General features: G+C 39.1%; 1 long non-coding RNA gene across 1 annotated transcript in view; it reads left to right on the forward strand.

Moving 5' to 3' along the window:
* TEX41 (testis expressed 41) overlaps positions 1–13,838 on the forward strand; it is a 408,763-nt gene that overhangs the window by 69,017 nt on the left and 325,908 nt on the right. The gene's annotated exons all lie outside the window — the stretch shown is intronic.

Genomic DNA, 13,838 nt, shown 5'->3' on the forward strand with positions numbered 1-13,838 from the left:
TATGGGAAAAGTAGGAGGAAATTATCTTCTTGCATAGGGATAGCTCATGTGGGAAGGCTAATCCACAGGTTCCCACAAGAATGGAGGAATACATCTGGTACATTTTTGAAGCACATCACGGAATGGTTATTTTGTATCAGTGTTACACATTGGGAGAAGTATTTGGAACAAATGAATTTCTAATAGATGACTCTAGATTATGTGTTTATACATTGCACCTTTTTGCTATTAAAAAAGTTGCTTCCCAAAAGAATGGATATGGCCTCTGCAATACAGAAATATGGTCATTTTTCCAAACTTTAGGTTCTTAAAGCAATTAGCATTGACATCACAAGTAGATGGCAAGCAAGCCCTGAATGCATCAGCTTTTAAAAGGGCGTTTCCCAACAACTTAATTGGAAAGTATTAGTATAAATTAAAGCATGTGGAGAGGCAGTATGTTTACACTTTCTTCCAAGGCAATAGAGAGTCAAGTATGCTAGCGAGTAAGTGAATTTTCTATGGAATTTTATTATTCCTCCATATACTTCTTTCATACCAGGTGGAAATCAGGTTTCTAAGAGTAGTTTTATTTCTATGCCTGTATAATAACTTTATCATTTTACAAGTAGAATAAATATGATAAGTAATCATTTATCCTTTTTGTGCTTTTCCTTCTCAACAAGGGCAACTGCTCTCCACTGAACATTTTACCCTCCCAAGCGGAGTTTGACATAATTACCACACTGGAGCTAAGATTCATAAGCAGATTGCTAATGTCAATGGAAATGAAAGCTTTCATGAAAAACAAAACCTGTTAAGTATACTCAAGGCTCAGCATCAATCCCACTCATGAGTAATTAAAATATCAATTTATGATGCATTTGTCTTTTACCGGTAAATCTGGAAATCCTATGGTTTTTTTTTCTTCAGACATAGATGCTTGAAGGAGAATAAATTCCAAGGACAGTTAATACAGCTTCAAACTTTGGATCAGAATCCAATTCCAGAAATAATACTTTGGAGTACCTACTATGTGTGAGATAGTCTAAATTAAACTGAAATCATTTTACAGTATTTTAGATTTTCTTAGTCCTAAGTAACAGGAATCTTTGCAATTTACACTGGTTGAATTTTTGTTGATTTTTTTTAACTGTATCTGGGAATATGGTTCAAAGTTTTCCTTAAAGAGGGTAAAAAGCTAGTTTCTTTCGTCCTAGGCTGTGTGCTGTTAACTGTCTACTTACATTGCCTATTTATTCTCTGCACCAACCCTATGGGTAGACATTATTATCTTCATTTTAAAGAAGAACCTCAAAAACATGGAGTGACTTGTCCAACCCACAGAGTCATTCAATAATAGAATGGGGTACACAGGAAAGCACAGACAGGGTCTGTACAATACCTGGTTAGGAAGGAAATAGACTGTACTCAAAGAAATTCACGACCTTGCCAGGTTTTAGCAGTAGGAGATTATGTAGCACATATAAGTAGCTTCAAAAAGTATTGAGTCAAGGAGGAAAAATATAAGATTGTATTGGGATAAATTTATCTATATGTTGCATTTACTTGAGTTTTAGATGTAATGTGTTGGGTCAACCATCTGGGAATGATGTAAAAATAGTGAGTAGAAGACTAGACTCAATGGTCATCTAGAGTCAATGATGAATAAATGCTGGAGCCTCCCTGGAATATTTTAGTGAAAGAAGTCCTAAGATCAGAGAAATATAAACGTTGGGATGCATCTATTACATATAATTCATTCAGCCACCCACTACACATGTCCCTGAGAAGAAACTCCCTTCACCTGAGCATTCAGAAATGTATTGGTTTGGAAAAACAACAGCATTTGCAATGGCTGTTCTTTGCATGCTGAGATGATAGTAGGAGATAATGCATTGGCACTGGAGTCCTAGATTTCAATGGAATAATGGGATCACAGAGTGGTAGAGGCCACATGTCACTGCTTAACCAGCAGAAACAAGATGAGTGCAATTATCTTAATAAGCTGCAATGATGGAGTGGTAATCAGAGTGTTTGACCCACAGGGACTTGTGGCAATGACTCATTGATCATGGAATCCCTACAGATGAAAATGGATGTGCAGTTTAGTGAGGTGTTGCTTCTCATGTGTGGAAAAAGTCTATGTTTAGTGGGCAGAAATCTGACTTGAGTTGCCAAAGTGAGCATTAACGGCCTCATATTCAATTCCTAGACCTAATCCAACTCACAGATCCAGAGTCCCTTATTGAGAGTGGGGCAGCAGATCCCTTGAGGAAGTAACCTGCAATGCTGATATAAGGATATATGGTGAATCTGCCTCTGTATTTTCTTTACTCTGGGAAGTGGGATTGCTATACTACAACATGTGGCATGTGCTTAAATGTTTCCATGAATATGTGGTGCTGTCTTTCTCATAGCCAAAATGTGTGCTTCCAGGAGCCAAGGAGCAGAAGTGGAAATGGTTTCTCTCTCTCTCTCTCTCTCTCTCTCTCTCTCTCTCATACCTAATAAAGTCATTTGAAAAATTTTTGTTCATGATCCATAAACTTGAGCTGGGTAGCTTTGGAGGTCCCAATCCTTATGAAATAAATACTTCTTCCAGGCACCACAGTCATGGTTTCGTTAAGTTAGAAAAAGATTTCTCACTGGCATTTTGGCAAAGAGTGTGTTCACTTTAGTATCAGGGAAGATTGGTCCCGGTTACCCAGAGAAAATCAGGTTGCTGCTGCACAAGAGAGGGAAAAGAGCATCATGTCTGCAACTTAGATGATTCACTGGGATACTTTATGATCCTTCCATGTCCAATAATACTGTTCAATGGGAAATTGTGGCAATTCAGTAAAGAAAACAATACTAAGAACACAGATTATGTCGGAGTTAAGGGTTGGGTCCTCCATCAGGAAAATTCTGGAGTAGTCCAGTTGCTGGCAGAAGGAACAATGGTGGCAAATGAAGGAAGCCGTGATTATCAACTTTGTCACAAGGCTCTGGCAGCAGCTATATTTTTTAAAATTTATTTTTTAGTTTTTAGTTTTTAAAATTTAATTTAATTTAATTTTAAGTTCCAGGATACACTTGCAGGACGTGCAAGTGTGTTACATGGGTAGATGTATGCCTTGGTGGTTTGCTGCACCTATCAACCCGTCACTTAGGTATTAAGCCCTGCATGCATTAGCTATTTATCCTGGTGCTCTCCTTCTCCCCACAACCCTCCCACCCTGACAGGACCCAGTGTGTGTTGTTCCCCTCCCTGTGTCCATGTCTTCTCATTGTTCAGTTCCCACTTGTAAGTGAGAATATGCAGTGTTTGGTTTTCTGTTCTTGCATTAGTTTGCTGAGGATAATGGCTTCCAGCTCCATCCATGTCCCTGCAAAAGATGTGATCTCATTCCTTTTTATGGCTGGATAGTATTCCATGTGTATGTGTACCACATTTTCTTTATCCAGTCTATCATTGATGGGCATTTGGGTTGATTCCATGTCTTTGCTATTGTGAATAGTGCCAGCAGCTATATTTTATATTAATTATTTGTTTATCCCCAACTTTTTCTCTACTGCTATATAAGTTTTAGGTTTTTGTTGGGCATATGGCTGAATTGACATAATCCTCTAATAGTATGGCAATAGATAGGACTTTGTGTGTGGGTCCCCTATGTTAATGAAATGTTTTTCATTTGCACAAAGGACAATAGTGGATGGTGAAGGTCAAACAAGAAGACCTATCCAGTAGGATATTATTTGTCCCTTCATACTCGCTCTTCACCCTTTTTCACCCGCCTTTGTGTCCCAGAAGGCTAAACTCAGTGGGTTGCATGAATAAGGCTCACTCTCTTGCTATGTGACTTCTGGTTGGATTCAGCCAATTTATGGCCAGGAGGAGAGAGGCTGGGAAAATATTCACTTCCCCTGTTCCTTCCTTGCTGATTGTGAACAATGGATATATTCCTCTCTACAGTGTCATGTAGAGGGAGAACTTCTCTTAAAGCAATTGTTCTTTTGGAATTCTAGTAGCCACTTCTTTCTTTTAACAATTTAGTCTCAGGGCTTTGGACTATTATGACTCTACAAATGTTTCTCTATCCTTTGTAGGAAACTTGCTCATATATTTGTAAATAATCCCTGTCAAACTCTCTTCAGTTACTCTTTGTAATGTAACTGATGCATACAACTAGAATCAATCTTAATTAAACTTTTCAGAATTTTTCTGGTAAAGGGTACACATAATAAAGTTCTCCAAATATGCCGATGATAGGAACTTTTTTATTTTATTTTATTTTATTTGAGACAGAGTCTTGCTCTGTCACCCAGGCTGGAGTGCAGTGGTGTGATCTCGGCTCACTGCAAGCTCCGCCTCCTGGCTTCACGCCATTCTCCTGCCTCAGCCTCCCAAGTAGCTGGGACTACAGGTGCCTGCCAGCACGCCCGGCTAATTTTTTGTATTTTTAGTAGAGATGGGGTTTCACTGTGTTAGCCAGGATGGTCTCAATCTCCTGATCTCGTGATCTGCCTGCCTCAGACTCCCAAAGTGCTGGGATTACAGTTGTGAGCCACCACACCCAGCCGATAGGAAACTTTTAAACTGTAGCAGGCTGACTAATGCCCCCACCAAAGATGTTCACATCCTAATTATTGGAACCTGTGAATATGTTACATTATATGCAAAGGAAGGATGATTGAGTTAAAAATCTTGAGACAGGGATATTATCTTGGAATATCTGGTGGACCCAATGTAATCACGAGGTTTCTTGTAGAAAGAAGGCAGAAGGGCAGAAAAGATGAGTCTGTGGAAGCAGAAATTAGGGTGATGTACTTTGAAGATGGAGGTACGGCCCATGAATCAAGGAGTGCAGGCAGCCTCTAGAAGTGAGAAAAAGAAAGGAAATGGGGTTCCCCCTGGAGCTTCCAGAAGGAACCAACCAGCCCTGATGACATTTTGATTTTAGCCCAGTGAGGCTGATTTTGGACTTCTGACCTCCAGAACTTTAAGATGACAAATTGGCATTACGTGAAGCCATTAAGGGTGTAGCAGTTTGTTATAGGAGCAGTAGGACCACACAGTGGCAAAATGCAAAGCTGTAAAGGAAATGGGTGAGAGGCCTTGCTTGGCTGTTTAAGTTGGCAGAAAAGTGACCGATTAATTTCACTGCCCACAAATACAAGGGTGTACATATCATTTAAAACTACAAAATCTCTACCTTGAAAGATGAAATTTGAGCATTCACTTATAATTAAGGATAGGAATTGAGAATTGCTCTATTGCCACTTCTCTGAAAGATGAGTGTAAGCTGTCTGTGCTATAAAAAGCTTAAAAAGGCCGCACGCGGTAGCTCATGCCTGTAATCCCAGCCCTTTGGGAGGCTGAGGTGGGCAGATCATGAGGTCAGGAGATCGAGACCATCCTGGCTAACATGGTGAAACCCCGTCTCTACTAAAAAATACAAAAAAATTAGCTGGGCGTGGTGGCGGGTGCTTGTAGTCCCAGCTACTCGGGAGGCTGAGGCAGGAGAATGGCGTGAACCCAGGAGGTAGAGCTTGTAGTGAGCCAAGATCGCGCCACTGCACTCAAACCTGGGTGATAGAGCAAGACTCTGTCTCGGGGGAAAAAAAAAAAAAAAAAAAAGCTTAAAAAAAGGGCTGCTCTGATTCATAGAAAATAGTGTGGTCCACTAGGGGAAGGGTGTCCTCTTTTTTGCTTTTTTAATTTTTTATTGATTTTATATTTTTTAAAATCAATCCTTACTTCTCCCAAAAGATTAGTCAGTTTCAAGAAGTCAAAACCGATTCTAAGACAGAACCCTAAGGCCATCCCTGGGCAAATATCTGTCATTTTACTTCTCCCATTTTGCAGCTGTTTTTGCAGTTGGAAACCTTCTTTTCTGCCACAAAACAGACAGCTCCCTGGATTTTGTCTTGGCCTAGGAATATTTAGGTGGGTGGCTAAATCTTGGGACAAATACTCTTACTTTTGCTTTCAGAAAAGAAAGCGGGGCTCTGAACCAGCTGGTGTACTCAGGGGTAAAATCTGAGATGTTAGTATGGGTTTAGAAAAAATTGTAGGTCACTCAGTATGCTTTGTTTATGCCTCTATTTTGCTTTTAACTAGGACAAAGGAGTTTTTTTTACTGGTCCAGTCAACTACAGTTCTGGTTCTGCTTAGGTATTGCGACCAAAGTCCAAGTTAATAATGATGGTTAATTTGCCTTGCTCTGACATTTTTATTTATACTTATTTTCCACGGGGATTTTGTGGAGATGAGAGGTGGCTTGGCCAAGACAAGATGTATGTATACTGTCTCTTAATACTGTTTCTTGAAAGCCCTCCTCCCCACAACATCTAGAGATGGTATACAAAATAAAAGTTTTACTTTATCCTTAGTATCTAACGGGAGTACTATGGACTTGATTCTAGCTTGCCCATTTTAAGAAAGAGATAATGAAAGAGAAACCATGTGCACAAACATGGGATAACTTTCAAATTTGCAAATCGAGTCATTTATTGAAAATAGTCCCATAGACGTGAATGGGGCTTTAGTTGGTTTACCACTTAAATATGCTTCTAAGATTAATTCCTAATGAATAGGTATTTCTAATCATTATTTCCTTTATATAAAATTATGAGATGTAGATATATAAACATCTAGATACATTTGATAGCTTCTCATTCATATTTAGGTCAAAACATTTTTTTTCTTTTTCTTTTTTATTTTTTTGAGACAGAGTCTTGCTCTGTCGCCCAGGCTGGAGTGCAGTGGTGTGATCTCGGCTCACTGCAAGCTCCACCTCCTGGGTTCACACCATTCTCCTGCCTCAGCCTCCCGAGTAGCTGAGACTAGAGGCGCCTGCCACCGCACCCGGCTAATTTTTTGTATTTTTAGTAGAGATGGGGTTTCACCGTGTTAGCCAGGATGGTCTCAATCTCCTGACCTCGTGATCTGCCTGCCTCAGCCTCCCAAAGTGCTGGGATTACAGGCGTGAGCCCAGCAAAACTTTTCTTAAAGTTAAAACTCCTCTGCTCTCAGCCTATTGGAATTGAACACAAAAATCTAGGGTGACATTTAATAAATGCAAGCCGCACCCTTGCCCCAAGGTTATGTTTTGCTTTGTTATTCAATTTAGTAACCCCTGATAATTTCTTTCTTTTAGTCTTTGTGGGCACATAGCAGCTCTATATATTTATGGGATTGAGGTATCAAAATAGTCACATCAAAATATCAAAATAATCACATCAGGGTAAATGGGGTACCCATTACTTCAAGCATTTATCCTTTTTGTTACAAACAATCCAATTATACTCTTTTACTTATTTTAAAATGTACAATTAAATTATCATTGACTATAGTCACCCTGTTGTACTATCAAATACTAGATCTCATTCTTTCTTTCTATGTTTTTGTATGCATTAACCATCCCTACTCCCTGCCCTCACTACCCTTCCCAGCCTCTGGTAACCATCCTTCTACTCTCTTATGTCTGTGAGTTCAATTGTTTTCATTTTTAGCTCCCACAAATAAGTGAGAACATGTGAAGCTTGTCTTTCTGTGCCTGGCTTATTTCACTTAACATAATGGCCTCTAGTTCCATTCATGTTGTTGCAAATAACAGGGTGTTGTTCTTTTTTATGGCGGAATAGTACTCCATTGTGTATATGTACCACATTTTCTTTATCTGTTTGTTGATGGACACTTAGGTTGTTTACAAATCTTGGCTATTGTGAATAGTGCTGCAGTAGACATGGGAGTGCAAATATGTCTTTGATATACTGATTTATTTGGGTATATACCTAGCACTGGGATTACTGGATTGTATAGTGGTTCTATTTTTAGTTTTTTGAGAAACCTCCAAACTATCCTCCATAGTGTTTGTGCTAATTTACATTTCCACCAACAGTGGACAAGGGTTCCCTTTTCTCCACATCCTCACCAGCATTTGTTATTGCCTATCTGTTGGATAAAAACCATTTTAACTGGGGTGAGATGATATCTCACTGTAGTTTTGATTTGCATTTGAAATTTACTTCTCGAAAACTTTTTCAAGGAAGGATTTTCCCACCCCAAACCTCAGGGTTTTCAGCACAAACATTTCATTAAATTTTAGCCTTTTTATTTTTTAAAAACAAAAGTTATATTTCTGCCCTACTTGGTGGCAGAAACTATGGTGAAGATTGTGACTTCTACATGTGAACTTAGGAGTACCTTTTCTTCTCCACTTGGTGGCAAAAGTTATGTGAAGAGGAAATGACTTCTACATTTTGGCTTGCTCACAATGGTCTTTTTCCCAGACAAAGGAAACAATTTGTCAAATTTAAAGAAGGTGACTTTGATACGAGAGTGCTGAGAGGGGAATAGCGTGGTTCCTTTAAATGATGTGGAAGGAGGGGAGGGAAGTGCTGGGTAGAGGAAGGCATAGTTTCTGGCTAGGGCTCCATACCCATGGACCTAGGTGAGGACAGGCGCTTCTGCCTTTGTTCCCAAATGTTGCATTTTCCAAGACCACCCTGGCCCACCACACCCTCACCCTCTCTGCCTATAAAAACCCGAGACCCTAGCAGGCACACACACACAAGTGACTGGACGTCGTGAGGAACACATCAGTGGAAGAAGACACAAGTGGCTGGTCATCCAGAGCTTGTGGGAGGAAGAGCACGCTGACAGGCACCAACAGACACTGGCATGCTGGCAGGCTGTCGGTTGGGATGAGGCAGACTTTGGTGGGGCAGTTGGAGGAGAGCCGGGGCCTCCAAGTAGCCCAACTCCAGGGGAAAACCATCTCACTTCTGGCTCCCCCATCAGCAGAGAGCTACTTTCCACTCAATAAAACTTTGCACTCATTCCCAAAGCCCACATGTGGTCTGATTCTTCCAGTACACCAAGGCAAGCACCCAAGATACAGAAAGCCCTCTGTCCTTGCGGCACGGTAGAGAACCTAATTTAGCTGGTTATCACAAGCTGCTTATAGATGGCAAACTAACAGCGCACTCTGTAACTCATGCCCACTAGGGCTTCAGAAGCTGTAAACATTCACCCCTAGACACTGACATGGAGTTGGAGCCCCACAGCCTGCCTGTCTGTATGCTTCCTTAGAGGTTTGAGCAGGGGGGCATGGAGGAAGTGAGCCACACTGCCATCACACACCCTGTGAGGGGGACAATGGAACCTTTCCTGTTTCAACTTTATCTCCCTTCAGTCAGGTGTTTGATATTAATGTCTGATTTTCTATTATTTCTCTCTTCTTCTCTCCCTCTTGGATCCTTTCTTCCTTTTTTCCTACCTCCCTTCCTTCCTTTCCAGTTTCGTTATCTTTCTTGTTTTTTTCACTCTTTCGTTTTTCTTTTTCACCTCTTTCCTTCTCTCTCTTTCTTCTCTTTCTTTCTTGATTCCTTCCTTTTCTGTCTTCCTTCTTTTCTTTTCATTTTTAGAGGCAGAGTGTCACTTTGCCACCCACCTGGCATGCAGTTGTGTGAACACAGCTTACTGCAGCCTCCACCTCCTGGGCTCAAGCAATCCTCCCACCTCAGCCTCCTGAGTGGCTGGGACTATAGGCAGAAGCCACCATGCCCAGCTAATTTTTGTATTTTTTGTAGAGATGGGGTTTTGCCATGTTGCCCAGGCTGGTCTCAAACTCCTGGGTTCAAGTGATCCATCTGCTTCAGCCTCCCAGAGTGCTGGGACTACAGGCCTGAGACAAAGCACCCAGCCCCTTCTTATTTTTTAGTACTCTTTCTTTATTTCTCTTTCACCTCTCTCCTCTCCTTCTTCCTTTCTTTTCTCTTCTTCCTTTTTTTCTTCTTTCCTTTCTCTCTTTCCTTCTTTCTCTCCTTCACTCCATCCCTTTCTTCCTTTCTCTTTTCTTCTTTTCTTTATTAATCTGTTTTTAACACTTATCCAGACAAGCTTTTTATGTAGACTAATTATAAAGTAACAGTGCTATTTATAAGCTTAATTTAAAAAAAACCCACTCAAAGATTCCAGTTCTGGGTAAAATGGGGTAAGTACACTCCAATCTGTCATTCTCACTGAATGCATCTATAAAACCTAATCAGAATGATGGAACAGTTATTTGAGGACTCTTGAGTAGAATTTGAAGTATCACTGAATGGATAGCGCATTTACCATTTTCTGGTGTCTACCCCAGCCTGGGTTCAAGTAGTGCAAAATATGGAAGTAAGCATCAACACAGAGAGACAACTTGGAGAAAAGCCTTTTAGTTCTTGTTCCATGAGCTGTTGCAGGAAGTCAGGGACCCTGAACGGAGGGACTGGCTGAAGCCATGGCAGAAGAACATAAATTGTGAAGATTTCATGGACATTTATTAGTTCCCCAAATTAATACTTTTATAATTTCTTATGCCTGTCTTTACTGCAGTCTCTGAACATAAATTGTGAAGATTTCATGGACACTTATTACTTCCCCAATCAATACTCTTGTGATTTCCTATGCCTGTCTTTACTTTAATCTCTTAATCCTGTCATCTTCGTAAGCTGAAGATGAATGTCGCCTCAGGACCCTGTGATGATTGCGTTAACTGCACAAATTGTTTAAACAATATGAAATCTGGACACCTTGAAAAAAGAACAGGATAACAGTGATGTTCAGGGAACAAGGGAGATAAGCTTAAAGTCTGGCTGCCGGTGGGTCGGGCGGAACAGAGCCGTATTTCTTTTCTTTCAAAAGCAAATAGGAGAAATATCGCTGAATTCTTTTTCTCAGCAAGGAACGTCACTGAGAAGGAGTATGCATTCCCAAGGGGAGGTCTCTATAATGGCCGCTTAGGGCCATTTATGGTTGTCGATAAGGGATGAAACAAACCCTGGTCTCCCGTAGGGCTCCCAGGCTTATTAGGATGAGGAAATTCCTGCCTGATAAATTTTGGTCAGACCGGTTGTCTGCTCTCAAACCCTGTCTCCTGATAAGACGTTATCAATGACAATGCGTGCCTGAAGATCATTAGCAATTTTAATTTCGTCCTCTTCCTGTGATCTCGCCCTGCTTCCATTTGCCTTGTGATATTTTATTACTGTGTGAAGCATGTGATCTCTGTGACCCACACCCTATTCGTACATTCCCCTTTTGAAAATCCCTAATTAAAAACTTGCCGGTTTTGCAGCTTGGGGGGTATCACGGAACCTGCCTACACGTGACGTCTCCCCTGGACACCCAGCTTTAAAATTTCTCTTTTTTACTCTTTCCCTTTATTTCTCAGACTGGCCGACACTTAGGGAAAATAGAAAAGGACCCACGTTGAATACTGGGGGCTGGTTTCCCCCGATAATGAGCAGTAGTATACAGAACTTCTGGTAGCAACAGTTGTGGCAGCAGGAACCTATAATGTGCTTTAAACTTTGAGAAATAAGGACATCTAATGGTTTTTTTTTTTCTTTCTATGTACTCCTTTTGCTTGGTCCTGGATGCATATGCATTCATGGGAAGTGTGTGTCAGGATAGCATAGCTAAAGACCATGCTTTCTGGGGAACTGAAAAGGAAACCAGAAAGGGAGATAATGGAGGCATAGGAACTTGAGAAACCAATTCCATAAAATTGTTTATAAACTCCTGGATTCACCCTTGAGCTGCAAGTGCGTGGATCTAATCCTAAACATATACCATGTATTTTGAGAATGAAACTTTGAGATGGGCTTCAGCCCACTTCCTGGACTACCCACTGGGTGACAAACACACAAGGCAGATGTGAATAGCACTGTAAAGGCATTGAATACTGAAATGTACATCGAAACCACAACCACAGAAGGCTGGTCAGGATGCGGGAACGGAATCCAACTGGGCTGATTGCTAAAGCAAAATATCAACATTTTCTATAGGGTTTAAACAGGACTCATTGTCTCATAAGAAAGTATTCAAAGCATCCAGAAGACAATACGTAGTTAATTGACAAGCAAGAACCAAGGAAAACCTCAACTCATATTGGTAAAGACAAAAAATAAACTCCGATATTGAACTGTTGGAATTATCTGACAAAGATTTAAGCAGTTATTGTAAAAATGTTCGAAGTATGCACACTCTTGAAACAAATGTAAAGAAAATCTAAGCAAATAATTAAAAGATATAAAGAAGTATTAAGTGGAAATTCTATAACTAAAAATATAACTTCTACACTCTCCAAAAATAAGCAAACAAAAAGAAAAACTCTAAGCAAACAAACACAACCTTTACTACTGGATGGACGCAGTAGTATATTGGAGATGAAAGAGAAAAGAGTCAATGAATCTGAGGATAAATTAATGGAAGTTAATCCAAAGAACAGAGAAAAAAGAGACAAAATAAACAGCTTTAGAAACTTCTTGGGCTATACCAACAGGTCTAATTTTCATGGCATGGGAGTCCCAGAAGGTCACAATAAGAGTGTAGTACAGAAAAAAAAAAATGAAGAAATAATAGCTGAAAATTTCTCAAATATGATGAAAGATATAAACCTACAAATTCAAGAAGTTTGGTAGGCCCTAAAAGGATAAACACTTAAATCCCAACTCAGAAATGTCATAATCAAATTACAAACACTAACAACAAAGAAAAAAACCTTAAAAACAACCAGAAAAAAATACGTTTTTAATAGGATATTCAAATAACTGCAGTTTTCTCACCCAAAATCATGGAGGCCAAGTGGTAAAATATTGAGTCTAAGCAGTTAAAAGTTAAATATGTATTATAATGCCTAGAGCAACCACTAAACACCAAACAAGCAAAACATACAAAGAGTAATAGTTCAAAAAATCAATTTCAGTGAAATACTAAAAAATCAAATAATAATTAAGAAAACAGAAAAAGGACAACTGAGAATTAAAAAAACAGAGGGAAGAAAACAGAAAGCAAATAATATAATGGTAGAACCTAAACCTAAATATATCAATAATAAATGTAAAAGCTCTCATATCAATTAAAAGACAGATTTTCAGAATTAATTAAAAATGACACAAATATGTGTTGCATATGAAAAACTCATGTCAAATATAATAATATTGGTATGAGAAAAATAAGAGGGTAAAAACAGATACACTATGCAAACACTAATCAAAAGAAAGAAACCAGGAGTTACTATGTTAATGTCACAAAAAGTAGACTTCAGGGCAAAGAAAATTATCTAGAATAAAGAGGCACAGTGCATGATTATAGAGGGGTAAATCAACATAGAAGACACAACCATCTTAAAATGTGTCGGCAAACAACAGCACTTCAAAAGATAAAGTAAAATTGACAGAACTGAAAGAGAGATAGACAGATCCACACTTGTAGTGGAGTCTCCAACACTCCTTTCTTAGAATCAGAAGTAGTGATAGAATCAGCAACACTAATAGAATCAGCAAGGATTTTTATCATGAATTAACTGGATCTAATTGAAATAAACAGAGCACTCCCCCAAACAACAGAAGAGCACAGTTTCTCTTCAAGTATAACATACAAAATTCACAAAGATAGGCATATCCCGAGTCATAAAACAAACTTTAACAAATTTGAACTAATTGAAATCACACAAAGTATGTTCTCTGAAAACAATGGAATTAAATTAGAAAATTAATAACATAAAAATAACAAGAAAATCTCAACACTTGGAAATTAAACACTACATGCCCATAAAATCTTTTTGTTGAAGAGAAAGTCTCAAGAGAAATTTGTAAATATTTTGAACTCAAGGAAAATAAATATATCATGTTGAAATGTGTGGGATGCACTTAATGCAATGCTCAGAGGAAGATTTATAGCATTAAATGCTTATATTGGAAAACAAAGGTTTCAAATCAACAACATGAGTTTCCATCTTAAGAAAATAGAAAAAGTACAAAGTAGACTGGACCAAATAGAAATAAAAAGCAATAAATATAAGAGCACAAATCAATGAAACTGAAAA

The sequence above is a fragment of the Homo sapiens genome, chromosome 2 (assembly GCF_000001405.40).
Source record: "Homo sapiens chromosome 2, GRCh38.p14 Primary Assembly".
In the NCBI taxonomy this organism is placed as follows: Eukaryota; Metazoa; Chordata; class Mammalia; order Primates; family Hominidae; genus Homo; species Homo sapiens.